Source organism: Homo sapiens, chromosome 3, assembly GCF_000001405.40.
Source record: "Homo sapiens chromosome 3, GRCh38.p14 Primary Assembly".
Classification (NCBI taxonomy): Eukaryota; Metazoa; Chordata; class Mammalia; order Primates; family Hominidae; genus Homo; species Homo sapiens.
The window spans coordinates 53313759-53334881 of record NC_000003.12 but is presented as its reverse complement, the minus strand read 5'-3'; the positions used below and the strand labels follow the sequence as shown (position 1 = coordinate 53334881).

General features: G+C 40.5%; 1 protein-coding gene, 1 long non-coding RNA gene and 1 other non-coding gene across 7 annotated transcripts in view; 2 read left to right on the top strand and 1 right to left on the bottom strand.

Moving 5' to 3' along the window:
* DCP1A (decapping mRNA 1A) overlaps positions 1–21123 on the top strand; it is a 64115-nt gene that overhangs the window by 12662 nt on the left and 30330 nt on the right. For all 5 annotated transcript variants that reach the window (NM_001290207.2, NM_001290206.2, NM_001290204.2 and 2 more), the window contains one exon: positions 15409–15475. In NM_001290207.2, the coding sequence (NP_001277136.1) occupies positions 15468–15475 (8 nt within the window). In that variant the 5' untranslated portion in view covers positions 15409–15467. The remainder of the gene's footprint in view (positions 1–15408; positions 15476–21123) is intronic.
* Positions 1755–1821, top strand: SNORD38C (small nucleolar RNA, C/D box 38C). The gene has a single exon (NR_145715.1). It is a non-coding gene; the product is annotated as a small nucleolar RNA, C/D box 38C (small nucleolar RNA).
* Positions 8048–11717, bottom strand: LOC124909380 (uncharacterized). The gene is made up of 2 exons (XR_007095912.1): positions 11641–11717; positions 8048–8175 (listed from the first exon to the last, which is right to left on the bottom strand). It is a non-coding gene; the product is annotated as an uncharacterized LOC124909380 (long non-coding RNA).

Below are 21123 nucleotides of genomic sequence, written 5' to 3'. Positions count from 1 at the left end.
AAAGATACTTTTCAACAAAAACAACAGCAGTTGTCTCCCCAGATTCTTGCTGTAGGAGCTCCCACAGCAGTGCTGTCAGTGCAGTAGCCACATGTGTCTATTGAGCATTTGCAGCGCGTGACGGGTAAAAGCAGACAACTGGTTTTTCTCTTTCTTACAGCCAAACGCTCCACAGTATAACATGATTAATTGAAAATATTAAGATGCAGGCTTGTGGTACCATCAAGCTCTATGAAATTGGTTCTGGCTTTTAATGATTTTATTTTGTAAAAAACAGTAACAAACTAGAAGCTGTTCAAACCTAAGCATTCCAAGATTGTGATGACGGCAGATAAATTGATTAATAAGGTTTTGTGTATTCAAAAGATTCCACCGCAGAACATAAATAGGATATTTTAACTTTCAAACCAATAAAAACCAGGAAGTGGGAAAAAAGTAAATAGAAACCATGGGAAAAAGAAAGCCCAAAATAAAATGGCAGAAATCAATCAATTTAGAACAAATGTTAAGTGAACTAAACTTGCCAGTTAAAAGACTCAGATTGGATAAACATATAGAATTTGCCTACATACTGTTTTAATATTTTTAATTATTTTTATCTATTTATTTATTTTTTAGAGACAGGTCTCGCTGTGACACCCAGGCTGGAGTGCAGTAACACACCATCATGGCTCTCTGCAGCCTCAACCTCTGAGGCTTGAGTGATCCTTCCATTTCAGCCTCCCAAGTAGCTGGGACCACAAGTGCACGCCACCACTCCCAGCTAATACGTTTTTATTTTTTGTAGAGACAAGGTCTCTCTATATTGTCCAGGCTGGTCTCAAACTCCTGGGCTCAAGCAATCCTCCTGTCTTGGCCTCCCAAAGTGCTGGATTATAGGTGTGAGCCACTGCACTGGCCCTGTATGCTGGTTTCAAGAAACTTTAAAAACTCTAAGATCGTGGAAAGGTTGAAAGTAAGCAATAGAATGAGATTTATCAGGCAGCTATCAAGCAAAAAAGGCTGGTGTCTCTGTGTGAGTCATACACGGTAAACTGTAAAGCAAAAAGCATCATTAGGGATAAAAGTTACCACATAATGATGAAAGGAATAAGTGACCTAGAAGATAAAATAATTTTGAATGATATATACTTAGTATATGTCAGAATTGCAAACTGAATGTTAAAAATCCCTAATTATAGTGACAGATTTTAATAAGCCACTTTAGTAATTGACAGATAAAGCAGACAAATTTTTTTTTTTTAAGAGTTAGGGTTTTGCTTTATTGCCCAGGCTGTCTCGACCTCCTGGCCACAAGTGATCCTCCCACCTTGGCCTCCCAAAGTGCTAGGATTACAGGTGTGACCCACCACATCTGGCCACAGACAATAAAAGTTATTGGATAGTTGAACAATACAGTTAACAAACCTGATATGATGGACATATAAAAAACCCTGCTGGCCAGGCGCAGTGGCTCACGCCTATAATCCCAGTACTTTGGGAGGCCGAGGAGGGTGGATCACGAGGTCAGGAGTTCAAGACCAGCCTGCCCAAGATGGTGAAAACTTGTCTCTACTAAAAATACAAAAAAAAAATTAGCCAGGCATGGTGGCAGGCGCCTGTAATCCCAGCTACTCAGGAGGCTGAGGCAGAGAATTGCCTAAATTCGGGAGGCAGAGGTTGCAGTGAGCCAAGATCACACTACTGCACTCCAGCCTGGGCAACAGAGCGAGACTCCATCTCAAAAAAAAAAAAAAAACCAAAACCCTGCTGCTGTCAGTGATGAAAATTTTGTCTAGTTCTGCTACTGACATTAAGTTATGATAAAGTCTGTCTGAGGAGAAAAAAGAAAAAAAAATCCTACTTTTAGCAATTAGAGAATTTACATTTTTTTCAAGTATATATTAGAGGTTTATAAAAATTGCCACATATAGGCCATTCAGCCAAAGAATTTAGGGAGGAAAATAGGGAAATCTGAGTAAAGTTGAAGGAAAATAAAGAGTAGAAATTAATTGCAAAAAGTAGAAATTTCTTTTTTTTTTTTTGAAACGGAGTCTTGCTTTGTCACCCAGGCTGGAGTGCAGTGGGGCGATCTAGGCAAGCTCCACGACCCGGGTTCACGCCATTCTCCTGCCTTAGCCTCCCGAGTGGCTGGGACTACAGGCACCCGCCACCACACCCGGCTAATTTTTTGGTATTTTTAGTAAAGATGGGGTTTCACTGTGTTAGCCAGGATGGTCTCGATCTCCTGACCTCATGATCCACCCGCCTTGGCCTCCCAAAGTGCTGGGATTACAGGCATGAGCCACCGCGCCCGGCCTAGAAATTTCAATAGAATAGAGCAGATCAACAAAACAAAAAACTCCACTATAACAACAACCATAAAAAGAACAAGGGGAGGTACAATATGCAGTATTAGGAATAAAAATATAAATGTGTTCCAACTAAAGGAAGAGAACATGCATTTTTAAAAACAAGAAGCCACTGTGAAGAACTTTTGCCTGTAAATTTAAAACTTGGATGATAAAGACAGTTTCCTAGGAAAACATAGTTTAACAAAAATTACTTAGGAATAAATAGATTTGAATGGACTCATAAATAAAATAATTGGGCCAATAGACTAAAAATCTCTCCCATCACTTCTAAAGAAAATGCTGAGAGGAATGTTCTATTCAGTAAATGGCACTAGGACTGTTAGTTCTCCATGTGGAGACCAGCCTCTGTAAAGGTAGCTATGGGGTTCATACACTTCTGGTCTAATCTTCAAGGGAAACTTGTCTCCAAAGGCCACTCTTCTGTGATGAGGAAATCATGCTTCTGTGATTCACTATTCCCTCAGCAAGGTGGTGAGCAGCATACCTCCCTATTATACATACCTGCTACAAGCAACATACCTCACTATTAGGTTGGTGCAAAAGTAATTGTGGTTTTTGCAATTAATGTCAAGAAACACAAATATTTTGCACCAACCCAGTACATACCTGCTACAAGCAGCACACCTCACCGAGTAATACTTCTCTTAGAAGATGTTTTTCCTCAAGACCAGTGTCAGAGGTCTTTTGATTTTCACTGTGGACACCTCTTAGGAATAAAAGTAGTAATGGGGAATCTTTTTTTAATATCTATGTGCTTACCTATCACTTAATTACAAAATGCCCCAAGAATATTCTGTGAAGTGTGTTCTGAGGAATTTTTTAAGAATCTAAACCCGGCATGTGAATCAATAATAAAGTACAGTCATGAGTCACTTAATGTCACTTAACAACAGGGATATGTCCTAAAGGCGCCATTAGGCAGTTTTGTTGTATGCACATCATAGAGTGTACTTACACAAACCTAAATGACATAGCCTACACACCTAGAATATATGGTATTGCTTTGAGGCTACAAACCTGTACAGCATGTTACTGTACTGAATGTGAGAGGCAGTTATAGCACATTGGTAAGAATTTGTACATCTAAATACATCTTAAGAGAAAACGTACAGTGAAAATGTGGTATTATAATCTTAAGAGACCACTGTTAGGTATGCAGTCTGTCACTGACCAAAGCAGCATTTGTGGCACGTGACTTGCAAAAGCAAACAGAACTGATTTTTCTCTTTCTTACAGCTAGACAGTCTACAGTATAACCTGGTTAATTGAAAGTATTAATAATATAGGTTTGTGGTACCATCAGGCTCTATAAAATTGATTCTGGCATTTAATGATTTTCTTTGGCAAAAACTATTTCAATATTGCATTTTGGGCCAGGCGCAGTGACTCATGCCTATAATCCCAGCACTTTGGGAGGCCAAGCCAGGCGGATCACGAGGTCAGGAGTTTGAGACCAGCCTGACCAACATGGTAAAACCCCATTGCTACTAAAAATACAAAAATTAGCCGGGCATGGCGGCACGCACCTGCAGTCCCAGCTACTTAGGAGGCTGAGGCAGGAGAATCACTTGAACCTGGGAGGCAGAGGTTGCAGTTAGCCAAGATCGCACCATTGCACTCCAGCCTGGGCAACAGAGCGAGACTCCATCTCAAAAAAAAAAAAAAAAAAATTACATATACTCCATCTCAAAAAAAAAAAAAATATATATATATGTGTATATATTGTGTTTTACCTTGTTTTTAACCAACGTGATTAACTCGGATACATACCTTAATTCAGTGACATTTATTGAATATGTCATTTGCCAAGCACTTTACCAGCTGCTATACCATATAGATTAAAACTACTGTGCGCTTATAAAGAATTTTGTTTATATTTTTAGTCCTTAGGTTCTATTATATTTTCTTAGAAAATTATAAGCTGAAGTTACTAAACTGCGTTAGAACTTTCTATGTCAAAACTCTGCCTTCTTGGTAAGGGTGAAGATTCTTTTTTTTTTTTTTCTGAGACAAGGTCTCACTCTGTTGCCCAGGCTATAGTGTCCAAATGATCCTCCATCCTCAGCCACTGCCCTGAGTAGCTAGGACTATAGGTGTGAGCTACTACACCAGCTAAATTTTTTTCTTTTAAATAGAGATAGGGTCTCTGCAAATTTTTTGTAGTGATAGGGTCTTGCTGTGTTGACCAACCTGGTCTCCAACTCCTGGCCTCAAGCGATCTTCCCACCTCAGCCTCCCAAAGTGCTAGGATTACACTATAGCCACTGCACCCCGCTGGGTCAGGATTCTTAATGAAATGTGCTACTACAGTAAGCCCAAAGCTATGCATGTTTATTCTTAAAACAACTCCCTGTAGATTAATGATAAAAATTAATGATTTAAGGTCTGTGATTTGAGAGTTATTGCTTGTAAATTTGAATGACTGGGCTAGTAACAGTGACAGTCTGATCTACCAGAGAGACAGTAAGGGTATGTACATATTTTTTCTTGGTCATTTTCAGCAGCAGTACTCACCCATTGTTGGGAAAGAGTATATGGTCTTGATTTTCTCTTCTCAGACCTAACCTTATTCTCACCATAGACCAGTGTGTAATGGTAGTTTTAACCAAAAACAATGATTGTTTTACTTTATGTGCATGTTAGATACGGCATCTTTTTACTGGAAGTTTATCATTTATAAGGACAACTTTTTCATGTTTCCTTCATGTAACACCCTAAGGCATGTATCTCCCACTTAATGCCACTTTTTGTATTTTTTAATGTTTTCTGTAAAACCAAAAGCAGTTTTGGGAAAATGGACAAAGCCCTTTTGAGTTTTTCAAAAGAACACAGACATTTCCCGAATTTTATTTTACCTTGACAGGTTTAAACAATTACAAGTTTGTGGTTTGTATGAAACACTTTCAAAGTGATCCTATGTGAGTAAAATCTGATCTGAAATTTTCTTAAAAAGGAGTTAATGTCATATATCTACTAGTCTAATATGTTGCTCTTTAGCTTGCTTAACCGAAAAAGACAATTACCTCTTAAGTATAATTTAAAATGTTAAATATTATTGCTATTTAATATTTTTAAGAACTTACCTCCAAAAGCCAGAGAGAAGTACCCCTTCGTTTCTGCTTCACTTATCACTTTTCCTTTATATCGGGCATCGATCTCTTGATACATAGTGCTTTTAATGAAAATTAGATCACTAGAAAAAGTAGGGAGGTTCATTTCCATAGTGTTGAAAATGCCACTGCCAAATGGAAAGTTTTAGTAGAAGAAATGCTGTAGTGTGTGCTTTTTTTGTCTCTCTGCTTGTCCTTTCTCAGTTCAAGGGCAAGTCTCAGAACAGTAGAGATGGTAGGTGGCTGTTGGCATTTGGAGCAAATCTTCAGACTTTTAAAGCACAGCGCAAGAAATTTCCTTACAAGATAAGTTTACAATTTGTCCAATCCAAAAATGTGAGTTCTCCCTCCACACTGAAAGAGGAATTCATAAACAACAAGAAAATTTCCGTGATTCATTCTTTGATATCTTTGAATTCAGTGCAGTACTTCTTTCTTAGCCTGAAGAAAGGCAGTCTTCCACCATCAGTTGCGGCACCGCTGTGCTTGGTATGATTCTGTAATCAGTGAAGGAGAAAGGGTCTGTGGCAACTGCATTAGTCTGGCCTTCTGGACCAAGATAAGGAAAGAGCCTTGCTGTTGCCACATTTGTAGATTGAAGAGGTAAAATCACCACGAAAACATAGAGGGACTTAAGGCTCAGTGGCTGAGTCTGACTCAGTGACACTGTTAGTTCAAATGTTTTAAAAATACATATATTGCTTTCTGGCTCATTGTAGGCGCTGCTTAGTATTCTGGTAGAGCCTTTACCAAGTGCCTTCTTGGTAACTTTGTAAATCCATGAACATTTCAGAATTTCCAAAGCAGATTCTTTTCATTATGATTCACTAATTACTGGCTTTTTCCTCCTCAGGTAGTGTTGTCAGATAAAAGCACTTTTTATCTTTTTTTTTTTATTGTGGTGTTATCTAAATTGTAAAGATTTGTAAAGTTAACCATGCCTGTATCATTTATCTTTTAGATAATTATGTTAAATATTCAATACTTCAAATGTTTTTTCTTTTGAGAACTCACAAAGGAAATCATTGTTTGTACTTAAGTGACAGAAATATGTTAACATGTAATATGTAGGTTTTCACCTTCTGTTTACACAATGAAGTTATCTGTGTAGGTAAAAATTGAAACAGAGTAACCGCTAGTCTAAGCGAAGCTCCTCTGGAGTGTGCAGAATAAACCTCCAGACTGGGCCCTTCAGGTTCAGTGTGCTGGAGGATCCAGGCAGGTCTGAGTCACTTACAAAGTCACTGCTTCCAGGCATGCTCAGCTTCTGCTTTTTCTTTTCTTTTTTTTTTTTCCTGAGACGGAGTTTTGCTCTTGTCACCCAGGCTGGAGTACAGTGGCGCAATCTCGGCTCACTGCAACCTCCACCACCCAGGTTCAAGTGATTCTTCTGCCTCAGCCTCCTGAGCTGGGATTACAGGCACACGCCACCATGCCCGGCTAATTTTTGTATTGTTAGTAGAAATGGGATTTCACCATGTTGGCCAGGCTGGTCTTGAACTCCTGACTTCAGGTGATCCACCTGCCTCGGCCTCCCAAAGTGCTGGGATTACAGACGTGAGCCACCACGCCCGGCCTTTGTTTTTGTTGTTGTTGTTTTTTTGTTGTTGTTTTGTTTTGTTTTTTTGAGGTGGAATCTTGCTCTGTTGCCCAGACTGGAGTGCACTGGCACAATCTCAGCTCACCGCAACCTCTGCCTCCCAGGCTCAAGCAATTCTTCTGCCTCGGCCTCACCAGTAGCTGGGATTACAGGCACATGCCACCATGCCTGGCTAATTTTTTGTATTTTTAGTAGAGATGGGGTTTTACTATGTTGGCCAGGCTGGTCTTGAACTCCTGGCCTCAAGTGATCCACCCACCTTGGCCTCCCAAAGTGCTGGGATTACAAGCGTGAGCCACCGCACCCGGCCAGCTTTTTCTTTTTAATAAAAGGAAAGCACAGGCTAAGCATTTGCTACCAACATTTAAAAATTACCATATTTTATACATCCTTAACCTGGATTTCTGATTTTTCTTGTGATAAAATGACGTGTGTGACCACACAGCACTTGGATTCCTGCAAGTACTGCAGTCAGCCAGAATTGTAGGTAAGACATTTTCATCACTGATCTCACCACACCCTGAGGTCTCTTATAGTCCGTGAGGTATTTGTGCTTACAACCCTGCTGTGGATGATCGATTAGTAAATTGGTAGAAAAATGTGTAGGAGAGTAGAAGTTAGGGAAAGTAGAGAAAAGAAGTTCCCCCCCTTTTTTACACCCCATCTGACCTATTTCCCAGATCCCTAACTATAGATTTTTGGAAGCCTAGGAAATGGGAATTCAAATCCATGGAGGTCAGGGGCCATGCTTCCCCCTGCCTTTGTCTCTCCCTTATGATACATAAAGATGATATTTGTGTGGGATACTAGAGCGACTAGAATACCAGTTGGGGGGGGGGGGTTGGACATGTCCAACATTTGGCAGAACCGTAATCATTTACACCAGCATTCCCCAACCTTTTTGGCACCAGGGACCGGCTTTGTGGAAGACCATTTTTCAATGGACGGGGATTGGGGGATTGTTTCAGGATGATTCAAACACATTACATTTATTGTGTACTTTATTTCTATAGGTGTTGTAATAAATAATGAAATAATTATGCAACTCACCATCATGTAGAATCAGTGGGAGCCTGGAGCTTGTTTTCCTGCATCTAAACAGCAGTTCCATCTGGAGGTGATGGAAGACAATGACAGATCATCAGGCATTAGATTCTCATAAGGAGCCACAATCTAGATCCCTCGTATGTGCAGTTCACAGTAGGGCTGGAGCTCCTATGAGAATCTATTGCCACAGCTGATCTGACAAGAAGCAGAGCTCAGGCAGTAATGCTCTGTTGTCTGCCACTCACCTTCTGCTGTGCAGCCTGGTTCCTAACAGGCCACAGACCAGTACCAATCCGTGACCCTGAGGTTGGGGACCCCTGATTTACACCACACTTTGGAAGCTGTATTTTAAGGAGCTATGGGTACTGTGTGGCAGTAGCAGATATACATCCTAACAGCAAAGGCAAAACCCTAGTGCAATTCACTGTTTTACTTAGGGTTGCCCATTGTTTAAGAATAAAACTTTTGCAAGTGGGAGTAATCAGTTGTGATATTGTTGGGTTTATTTTCCTAATTCCTAAAGAAGTTCAATGGTCATTTCATGTGTCTAAATTCTGTACTGAGATTATAATGTTAATGGGATTGTGGAAGGAGTATTTCGGGTTAATATATTCAGATTTGATTTAATTTAGACAGAGGCACCAAATTTTTAAATGATAAACTGAAGACCTTGAAGAGTAGCATTTTAAAATTACCTGTCCTAAGTCTTTTAATCATTGTTCAATATTCAATAAGTAGATATTACAATTTAAATTTTAGAAGTTGGACTCTTTCTCTACCATATTAGTGTTCAGTGGTGGTCTGAAATGAGTGGGTTTTTTGGCCAAAAGGGTTAAGCTGCAAAGATAATTGAATGACATTTTCCAGAGTTTCTTGCGGATATACAACATCTCATCTACCTAAGTGTTTGTAACATGCCAAAATCTGTTATGATCCCACGTCAGTCAGTCTTAGGCTCCATATCCTTTTTCCTGTGTGTGTGTTTTCTGCCCCTCTATCCTAGAGCCTTTCTTGTCTTCTCACTCTTTCCTAACCCTTTGATGTTCTTAGAGAGCCTCCATGCTTATTCTTGTCTTAAAGGAAATGATCTGCTGAGGCAGAGGTATTTGCCTTTTCACTTGCCAGGCCTGACTTATGTTTATATACCTATTCCATTTTTCTATATAAAAAATGTATTTGTCTATACCCAAAGCCCGTTTTCTTGTTTTTGTTTCCTGGTGTAAGAGATCTTTGTCAGTATCATCTTTAGAAATTGCATAACTTTTTTTCTCTTTATTTATTTTCTCAAGCACAGAGTTTCAGGAAAAAGAAATTTTATAACTCTTAACATCACCACCAAAAAGCTTTTTATTAAACCACCTTTTTGCTTGGCACCATACTGAGAAAATCTCCAGCCTCCTCAGATCCTTCTAGAAAGTAGGTTAGATCTAAATAATAAATGAATCACAAAGACAACATATGTATGAGAGTGATTCCCAGCTCTGTTTCTGTGACATTTCACAGCATCTCTAGAAGTCTCAAGGGATTTTACGAAGATACCAAATTAATTTGGCTTTTCTTGATCTTGTGTGAGCCATGTACCTCTCTCAAGATGAGAAACAGTGAAATATTTTATATGAAATCATAATAGGTTGCTATATCTTTAAACGGGTCTAAGGAAATAGAAAACTCTTACTCAAAACTCCACTTCTTAAAATTTCTCAATACAAAATAGTTCAAATACCTTTAATTTTTGTAATTTGTATTTTTTTTTACATTTTCAAAAGAAAGGGGCCTTCATTTGAAAAGCAAAGGAAACATTTAATGTTTGATATTCTTAGATGGATCTGGATATTTTTTGTGGAAGGCAATGAAATGTCCTATCACACCTCCTAACTTTTTTCTTTTTTTTTTTTAGTTAACAAATTTTTAAAAAATAAACAAGGTCCCACTGTGTTGCCCAGGCTGGTCTTGAACTCCTGGGCTCAAGTGAACCTCCTGCCTCAGCCTCCCAAAGTGTTGGGATTAGAGGCATGAGCCACCACACCCAGCCAACTTTTCAATGACTTGTCTATCCTATGCAACATGACTGACTTAGGATAGCTGTTAGCAGTCACAATGTGTGGTAGGTATCCATTAAGTAAGTAGTTTCTTTCATCTTGAGAAAGGCCATTTGTAAAACAGTGTGCCATCATTTGCCATAGCAAGGCAATACTGTATTGCCAAAAGCCTGAATTCTCTGTAGGATAGTTAATCAGAGAAATTTATTTCAGCAAGTGAATTGTTGGCAGAATGTGTTGGGCCTTAGAGTGTAAGTTCTCTAGAGGGAAGAATGCTTAGCTTTGGTTTAAAGGGGAGGTCCTCTGCAGTTTTAGCTATCTGGTGAACTTGTCTGTCTTTCCTCATGAGTGACAGTGACAGGCTCCGTGGCAGCTCCCTGGGCTTTCTTGCCAGTTGCACGCACTGACCGTTTGATATGTTGGCAGACAGAGCTGATTCTTGGATGCGTGTCTGAACCTCTACAGGTCTGCTTTTGGCAGAATCGAGTGTGACTCTTATCCCTTACCCATTAAGCTATCATTATGGCTTTCTTATCTTTATTTCTTCTGCAAACATGCCTTTGAAAGTGTTTGGCTCTTTTTAGGCAGTTTGATAATATACAAAAGCAGAAGGCATGTGTCTTATTTCTAAATTATATTGTATTTTTTCAAAGGAAAAGAGGACATCTTAAATGAAGGTTTTTCAAAATAAGTTGACAGCTTTGATGGACTTACTTTGATTATTGATAAGTAGTTCTTTCCTAAGAGTTCGGTTTAGAAGTCCCTGTGAAAATACACTTAATTGCTTCTGTTTAGCACAGAAAAAATTGTGTGTTCCTCTCTAAGCCTGATGTGTTGCATATCATAAACTTTTTTTTTTTTTTTTTTTTTGAGACAGAGTCTTGTTCTGTCACCCAGACTGGAGTGCAGTGGTGCGATCTCGGCTCACTGCAACCTCTGCCTCCCGGGTTTAAGCAATTCCCCTTCCTTAGCCTCCCGAGTAGCTGGGATTATAAACATGCATCACCACGCCCAGCTAATTTTTGTATTTTTAGTAGAGACGGGATTTCACCATGTTGGCCAGGCTGGTCTCCTCACCTCAGGTGATCCACCCACCTCAGCCTCCCAAAATTCTGGGATTACAGGCATGAGCCACTGCACCCGGCCGCATATCATAAACTTTTCTTATCACTGTGTATTGTTTTGGTATGTCCAGATTAATATAGCTTATTGAAGGAAAACGAATTTTTGTATTTGGACTTCAGTGTTTGGGGTGTTCATTAGCCAAGCTTGGAAGAAGCATATTTCAAGAAAGGTAGTCCTATGTAATTGCCATATATGGAGTCTTTTTAAAGCCCTGATCTGATTTACTGTAGTTAGAGCAAGCCTTAGCCGCTAAGAGCGTAACTAAGAACCTGCAGTAGATAATGCTTAATAATTATCTCTGTAACAAGGCTGCTTCTGTGCTCCTTCCATTGAGATGTTAAAGCTGAGTGAATTTGTTGACTTACCATGATGTAAAACATTCCAAAATTACTTGTTATTCATTGGAGTTTGATTCTGTTTGGAGCACTCAACTCTGTGAAGAAAAGAGGCACTGTGAAAATGGATTCCAAACATGGGAAACTCGGCCGGGCGCGGTGGCTCACGCCTGTAATCCCAGCACTTTGGGAGGCCGAGGTGGGCGGATCACGAGGTCAGGAGATCGAGACCATACTGGCTAACATGGTTAAACCCCATCTCTACTAAAAATACAAAAAGTTAGCCGGGTGTGGTGACGGGCGCCTGTAATCCCCGGGCGCCTGTAATCCCAGCTACTCGGGCGGCTGAGGAGAATGGCGTGAACACGGGAGGCAGAGCTTGCAATGAGCCAAGATCGTGCCACTGCACTCCAGCCTGGGTGACAGTGAGACTCCATCTCTCAAAAAAAAAAAAAAAAGCAAACAAACAAACAAACATGGGAAACTCTTCCCAGCTGGTTGAAGGCTCAGAGACTAGTGAGCCTGGACTTCCTTCAGGTAGTGCACCACTTGTGGGACACATGGCCATACACGGGCTCCATAGATTTAGAGCAGTTTTAGTGTAATTAGAGGTTTTTCCCTGCCTGAGAAGCCCTTTGTAAACAGGGTAGGAAAAAAAATTCTTGTTCATGATCTTCATTCATTAAAATGAAGCCGTTCACTTGCTGTGTGTATCAATAATATTTTCATTAACTCTACAATAACAATAGAAAGACTCAAAATTATATTTCTGTTGAGAAGGGAACATACATATATATATATATAATTTTTTTTTTTTTCTGAGACAGAGTTTCACTCTTGTTGCCCAGGCTGGAGTGCAGTGGCGTGATCTCGGCTCACTGCAACCTCCACCTCCCAGTTCAAGAGAGTCTCCTGCCTCAGCCTCCCGAGTAGCTGGAATTACAGGCATCCACCACCACGCCTGGCTACTTTTTGTATTTTTAGTAGAGACGGGTTTCATCGTGTTGGCCAGGGTGGTCTCGAACTCCTGACCTCAGGTGATCCACCCGCCTTGGCCTTCCAGGGTGCCAGGATTACAGGCATGAGCCACCGTGCCCAGCCGAGAAGGAAACTTTTAAAGTTAAGATTTGCCATGAAGTCTTTTGTGGAATAATGGGCTTAATTCAGGGTGAAACAAATAATTGAGCATTAAAATAACTTTTAAAGCGGTGGTTTTCTAAATTGGTATATATTGATAATTATAGAATTCAAATAATAGTTATAAAAATGATTTTTTGATTTATTTAAAATCTCTTGTGCTAGCACTTCTATTTCCTATATTGTATGGCACCCTCTTAATGTGCCTTTTAACTTAATTATGTATAGGCTTTCTTCTTTTATGTGTCACTTTAATCATCGAGCATAACTGAAGCTCACTAACTTTTTGTTTCTATAAAAAATTGTAATGTTATTTCAATGTAATGAGATGTAAGCAATGAAAATGTAGTGACAAGATAACTGGTCTAGGAGTGAGAAGACCCAAGTTTGTTTTTTGGGTTTTTTTGTTTGTTTTGAGACGGAGTTTCGCTCTTGTTGCCCAGGCTGCAGTGCAGTGGTGCAATCTCGACTCACTGCAACCTCCACCTCCTGGATTCAAGCAATTCTCCTGTCTCCGCTTCCTGAGTAGCTGGGATTACGGGCATGCGCTACCATGCCCGGCTAATTTTGTATTTTTAGTAGAGACGGGGTTTCACCATGTTGGCCAGGCTGGTCTCAAACTCCTGACCTCAGGTGCTCCGCCCATCTTGGCCTCCCAAAGTGTTGGGATTACAGGCGTGAGCCACCATGCCCAGCCTGACCCAAGTTTTACTTATAGCTCTGAGACTGATTTTTTTCTCTAATTTGTTAATAAGTTACTTAGTCTCTCCGTTAACCCCTATTCCCATCCATAAAAATGCAAAATGAAAGTTCCAATTAAACCGAGTAGCATAGACTTGTCTCTCCCTGCCACTTGCAACTATAAAACCTGGAAATGACACAACAGACAATCTGGAGAACTCTGAAAGATAGAAAGAGGATGATCTGGTCAGGAACCCAGAACTGGCAGAACAGCAGCAGCAAAGTGTCTTACAAACCCCCACCCAACATAAGAAGGGGGCCTGGGCCTGATGTTTCTTGACCTTCAACCTAGCAACAGAAGGTGGCCCGGGTAGGCTCATTCCTCTCCTAGACTGAATGAGAGTCCTGCCAGCAATACTGGGCCAGCCCAGCAAAACTGGCAAGGATTGGAAGCCCCACTAATAATAATTGGCCGCCAGGGGACTTCTGCGTCTCCCTTCCATGAAGTCAGTGGAGCAGGAATAGCAAAGAGGATCTCATTACAACCAGCTTGGAATGGACAGCAGTCTTCTATGACTTCTGTGGTTTCATTTATGTAATATAATACTCTTGAAATTACAACATTGTAGAAATAGAGAACAGGTTCCTATTTGCCAAGAGTCAGGGACGGGAGGGGCCAGAGCAAGGTGGATTTGGGCTATAAAAGGGCACCAGGTATCCTGGTGGCCATGGAAATTTCTGTATCTCGACTGATGTCAGTATCCTGGCTGTGATAGTATACCATAATTTTGTAAAATGTTACCATTGGAGGAAACAATTTATAGGGCACCAAGATCTGTCTGTTCTTTACAGTTGCATTTGAAGGTACAATTATTTCAAAATAAAAAGTTTTAATGTTTTCTTAAAAAAAGCATAATGATACCTGCCATTTCTGTGCTAGGGAATCATTGTAAGTATTTAAGGAGGTACAAGGTATGCTGAGGTGTGTCATCATATGGGCCCACATGGTAGCAATGGGTCTTATCCATCCGTGTGTCTGTTTCAGCTTGTATGTTCAGTATTCTACTCTACCTTATCCAAAAAGCAGTTATAGTAGCTTTAATATATTATAATCTTTAATAAAGTTCATTTATCTTGCAGCAAGTTTGTTTAGGGCTTTCTTTGAACTGAGCACCATATTGGGAATAAAAAGAATGGGATAAGAAATGCCATAGACTGAGCTCAGTCCATTTCACATGTAAACAGTCAGTCATAGGATGGATATAGAGCTGGGGTTTGTTTTGAAAGCTTTGTATTGTAACAATTTTAATATCTTTTTTTTTTTTTTAGATGGAGTCTCACTCTGTTGCCTAGGCTGGAGTGCAGTGGCGTGATCTCGGCTCACTGCAACCACTGCCTCCCGGGCCCAAGCGATTCTCCTGCCTCAGCCTCCCAAGTAGCTGGGATTACAGGCACGCCACCACAGCTGGCTAATTTTTGTATTTTTAGTAGAGACGGGTTTCACCTATGTTGGCCAGGCTGGTCTTAAACTCCTGACCTCAAGTGATCCGCCCACCTCAGCCTCCCAAAGTGCTGGGATTACAGGTGTGAGCCACCATGCCCGGCAACAATTTTAATATCAATTTAGAATGCATCTTAGAATCAATATGATTCTTAGTTTAATTGGGAGCCTTTTGCTTAAAAGCTTGATAGTACATAAATAATGGTTGCATCTTACACTTAGTAACATCTTAGGTTCACTGAGATCTGGTGATAATGTCTAAAACTATTTTGTGTAATCTTTATCTGAATGTTTTACCTGTCCTGATTTTATTAAACAGAATTTGGGGAGGAGATACTTGTTTTCTTTAGATAGAGTATTAACAATTTGAGGGTCTGATGGTACATTTAGTGAATTCCATGATGATAATATATTATTTACATACACCCAAATGTTGAAACCTCATTTCTTCTTATCTTTTTTTCCCTTTGTTTTTCAAGTGTCGATATATAGTATCTGGTTTTATGACAAGAATGACTGTCACCGCATAGCAAAACTCATGGCTGAGTAAGTATATTACTCCATAAATTTAACTGATGATATGTGAGAAATGAAAAATAATCCCCTCCCACTTCTCTTTGTTACTAAAGTCTGCCAACTCATGTATTTCCCCAATTTCTTTTTACTGCCAAAAACTTGGAAAAGGCTGAAAAGCTTTAAAATATATATAATTATTATCTTAACTCCTCCCAGTGTGCATTTCAGTTTCCTTCCAGTCTTCCTTCTTTGTGTATATATTAAGTAGATGTGTGTGATTGTTTTTTTACAAAAATAGGATCCTACTGTATGTATACTGCTTTTCATATCAACAGCATTTTTCCAGGGCATTAAATCTTTCTCTGTAGTATTTATGACAGCTGCATTGTATCCAGCTCTATAGACAGATCATGATTTAACCAGAACTTTACTGTTGGACCTGTAGGTTAAGGCTGCCAAACTGCCCGGCTCCAGAGGATATCTGCATCAGGTGTACAGCCTGACCATATACAGCAACTCTGATTTAGGTTCTGTGCAGATTTCCACTGTAACAAGTGATACCATATGTGATAGCCTGATAGAGAACTCATACACACATCTGTATTTAGTTCTTTTAAGTGAACTTGTTTTTGACACAGACTCTAGGCTTAACAGGCCCCAATCCACTCATGGGTTGTGTTCCAGAAGATTTTTTGTGACTCAGAACCTTGAAATTTAGAAAATTATTTTCCTTGAATTAATGTTCTAAAGGGCAGTTCATTGTCCTCTCTCAAGCTAGCCTGTAGAAGCCAGCCCTTGTGTGACCTATCCGTATTGCTGGACTGCCATTCTGGATTCTGGAAGCCCATTACACGGGGCTTCAGGGGGCCTGAGGGACTACAGAGCTCTGGGCAAAATGCTATAATAGGTAGACGGTATATTCTGGTGCACCTCTGCTTTTTTTCAGTTTTTGCCTGAATCTTCTCAGAAATGTGGACCTCTCTCCCCCCTCCACCATCCCCATCTGTCAAATCAAAATTCCTTTTGCTCTCTTACAGTTTTCAATCACATGTTTAAAAGAAAATAATCTTAAATTTTTTAACAGTCTAATCTTATTTTATTTTTATTTTATTTTACTTTATTTGGTTTTTTTTAGACAGAGTCTCGCTCTGTCACGCAGTCTGGAGTGCAGTGGCGCAGTCACAGCTCAGTGCAGCCTCAAACTTCTGGGCTTAAGTGATCCTCCCATCTCAGCCTCTCAAGTAGCTGGGACTACAGGCATGCACCACCACTATCAGCTAATTTTTTGGGGGGTGGGTAGAGATAGGGTCTCACTATGTTTCCCAAACTGGTCTTGAAGTCCTAGGCTCAAGCGTTCCTCCCACCTTGGCCTCCCAAAGTGCTGGGATTATAGGCGTGAGCCACCATGCCAGGCCAACAGCCTAATTTTAAACTCATGAAAGTATATATAAGTAATTAACCCAGAATCTCAGTTCATGGCTAAGGCCAGGTTGTGATCTAAGACTACTAACATGTCCTGATCGGAAGTTATCGGCCCCCTGCTTTGTTGCCTGTTCTGGCTGTGAGCTTGCAGGGCAGGGCCATGTTTATTACTTGTGTACACCCCAAGGGCATCGTTCTGTATGAACTTGTAGTCACTTATACTTGAAAAAATGTTGGCTTGAAAAAAGAGCCACGCTTTGTTTTTAGAACACTTTTTCTCTTAAAAAAGATAAAACTATTTTTCATTTTTTAATTTAATTTTTTTCTTTTGAGATAGGATGTTGCCGTATTGCCCAGGCTAGTCTCAAACTCCTGGGCTTAAGGGATCCTCCTGCCTTAGCCTCCCAAGTAATTGGGACTATAGGCACAAGCCACCATACCCAGCTAAAACCATTTTTCAACATAGCCATTTATTAGATGATCACTTGTTTTAGCTTTGAAAGTGACAGCAAAGGCAGCTTACTTGTGGTTACCTAGAAGACACAGGGTTGGCTGGGCGCGGTGGCTCACGCCTGTAATCCTAGCACTTTGGTGGGCCAAGGCGGGCAGATCACCTGAGATTGGAAGTGCGAGACCAGCCTGACCAACATGGAGAAACCCTGTCTGTACTAAAAACACAAAATTAGCCAGGTATGGTGGTGCATGCCTGTAATCCCAGCTACTCGGGAGGCTGAGGCGAGAGAATCACTTGAACCCGGAAGCTGGAGGTTGCGGTGAGCCAAGATCGCGCCATTGCATTCCAGCCTGGGCAACAAGAGTGAAACTTTGTCTCAAAAAAACAAAAACAACAACAACAACAACAAAAAGGCACAGGGTTGTTGATTCATGGTTATCCAGAAATCCAGATTTTTTCTAAACTTTGGAATGTATTAATATATAAACACTTTCTCCTGCAGAATGAGGACGTGGGCTTTGAGTGAAATGATCTGGCTCTTTTAGCTCTAACAACTATTGAAAGAAAACCGTTTATCTATCAGGGCAAGTGTTACCCCTAATGCAAGATTTCAAATGATAAATGAAGCTGAAGACTGAAGGCCTATCTAAAAATATTTTATTGAACCCAGAAATAGGATTAGGAGTAGAAATGGAAAGCTGGAAGGGAAAAGAAGAGCATTGGGGCTTCTTTCACCAGAAATGCCCGAAAAGGGACAATTGCTTAAATTTTCAGCTTGTTTGACTAGAAACAGATGTGTTATTAAAAGTGATTTGAGCCTGGGCACAGTGGCTCATGCCTGTAGTCCCAGCACTTTGGGAGGTCAAGGCGGGGAGGATTGCTTAAGGCCAGGAGTTCAAGACCATCCTGGCCTGATATAGCAAGACTCATCTCTGTTTAATTAAAAAAAAAAAAAAAAAAAAAAGGGAAGAAGAAAAGAAAGTGATTAGAGAAGCCAGGCACAGTGGTGTGTACCTGTCATTTCAGCTATAATACTTGTGAGGCCCAGGTGGGCAGATCACTTGGGCCCCAGGAGTTCAAGATCAATCTGGGCAACATAGTGAGATCCCATCTCAAAAAAAAAAAGTGATTAGAGAATACCCTGGTGAAACTGTTGATAATGAGTTTTAAGTGTCTGGCCTATTTATAGCTGAAGAGAATATTGTATGTTACCATTAACTTTGTGATAAATGCCTCTCTGGTCACCAAAACTAAAGAAGACTATCTGTCTTTGTTCTAAATCTGCCTGCATAAACCTGTTTGTTACTTTTTGTTGTTGTTGTTTGCTACATATTTGAGAATATCACCTCTACTATCCAAAAATACTAGCACAGTTCTTGTTAGTATATTATACATATAAATAAATGTGTCCATCAGTGCCCATTCTTTTAAATACAGTTCTTCCCATCACTATTTGACAGCCACAATATAATAAAGATCCTCCAAGTAAAAAAACTGATTTACTCCAGGCTGGGCGCGGTGGCTCACGCCTGTAATCCCAGCGCTTTGGGAGGCCAAGACAGGCGTATCACGAGGTCAGGAGATCGAGACCATCCTGGCCAATATGGTGAAACCTCGTCTCTAGTAAAAATACAAAAAAATTAGCGGGGCATGGTGGCGGGCACCTGTAGTCCCAGCTACTCAGGAGGCTGAGGCAGAAGAATGGCGTGAACCCGGGAAGCGGAGCTTTCAGTGAGCCAAGATCGTGCCACTGCACTCCAGCCTGGGCGACAGAGCGAGACTCCGTCTCAAAAAAAAAAAAAACAAAAAAAAAAAACAACAAACTGATTTACTCCAAACAATGTTTATAAAAACGAGAAACTATGTAGGAAAATGAGTGAGCTTCTAGACCCTATGTCATCTAAATTTGTATATTCTCTGGTCAGTGGTGGCAGAGTTGAAAACCCACTAAACTTAGAAGCTGTTGACTCTCCTAAAGAGGAAATCCAGTCTGCCAGAAACTCTTTTTTTTTTTTTTTTTTTTTTTGAGACAGAGTCTTGCTCTGTCACCCAGGAATGTGGTGGCGTGATCTGGGTTCACTGTAACCTCCGCCCTCCTGGGTTCAAGCAGTTCTCCTGCCTCAGCCTCCCGAGTAGCTGGGATTACAAGTGCCTGCCACTGCACCCAGCTAATTTTTGTATTTTTAGTAGAGACAGGGTTTCACCATCTTGACCTGGCTGACCTTGAACTCCTGACCTCATGATCCACCCACCTTGGCCTCCCAAAGTGCTGGGATTACAGGCGTGAGCCACCACACCCGGCCTCAGAAACTCTTTTTAACAATAAAAAGTTGTTTGACGGTTTGGCCACATAGACTATGTAAACTTTGGAGAACTCATGGAAGTAAGCTTTATTCCTGATCTTACAGACATCTTAGGGGTAGGTTTTGGTGTTTGAAAGGAAAGGAGAATGGCATGAGTGCTATCCATAAAGTTTGGATTAGAAGAGGCCTTAGAGTCCAAGCCTCGTTTATGTGAGAGTCCCTTCCATTACCACCCCCGACAGCTTCTGCTTTCAGCAGTGGTGAGCTTTATAAAATTACCTGTTCTGGCTGGGCGCAGTGGCTCACGCCTGTAATCCCAGCACTTTGGGAGGCTGAGGTGGTCAGATCACTTGAGGTCAGGAGTTCAAGACCAGCCTAGTCAACATGGTGAAACCCTGTCTTTATTAAAAATACAAAAATTAGCCGGGCATGATAGTGCATACCTGTAATCCCAGCTACTAGGGAGGCTGAGGCACGAGAATCGCTTGAACCCGGGAGTCGAAGGTTGCAGTAAGCCGAGATCGCACCACTGCACTCTAGCCCGGGTGACAGAGTAAGGCTCTGTCTCAAAAAAAAAAAAAAAAAAAAAAGAAAAAGAAAAGAAATATTCTTCTCTTAAACCAAAATAATCACAGAATCACAGATCCTAGTCTGGGTCAGGGAAGAGTTAAATACCAGCATGGCCAAGTCAGGCAACATGTCAGGAGGTAGGTGGAAAACAGGCCGTGTGACAGATCCTTTATGAAGATGGATTCAGGCTGATGTGGCCTATATTTGAGCATTAAATAAACAATTCATGTTTGGTCTTATTCTCATATCCCATACCAGTCTTTCAGTCTACCATGAAGCTCATGATGCTACATTTGTTTTAGAAGTAATAGTCTTATTAAGAGCTATAATTATGAATCTAGATAGAAAAACTACATGTTACCTTAAAGCCACATTTTCCAAACAGGAATTCTACCTCAGAGTAAAATTCTATAGTCAAATAAAATTTGAGAAAATCTATAGGCCTGCCCTTCTTGGAGAATCACAATAAATTTTAGCATGCTTAAAAATCAACTGGCCAGTTGTGGTGGCTCATGTCTATAATCCCGGCACTTTGGGAGGCTGAGGTGGGAGGATTGCTTGAGGCCAGGAGTTTGAGACCAGCCTGGGCAACATGGTGAGACCTTGTCTGTACAATAAAAAAATAAATAAAACAAACAAACAAAAATTCAATGGGTGGGTTGTGGTAATTCATGCCTTTAATCCCAGTATTTTGGGAGGCTGAGGCAGGAGGATCACTTGAGACTAGGAGTTTTGGGACCAGCCAGGGCAACATATCAAACTCCATCTCTACAAAAATAATAATAAAACTCAAGGATTCTGTTTTTTCTTTTTTTTTAAGTCGGTTTAATATTGTTTAACCCAGTATTTTTAAATAAAAAAGCCATCTCTGTTCACCTCTTCCCCACACTCTAATGAGAGCTCCTGTGCAGGCTGGGTTTTTTGTTTTT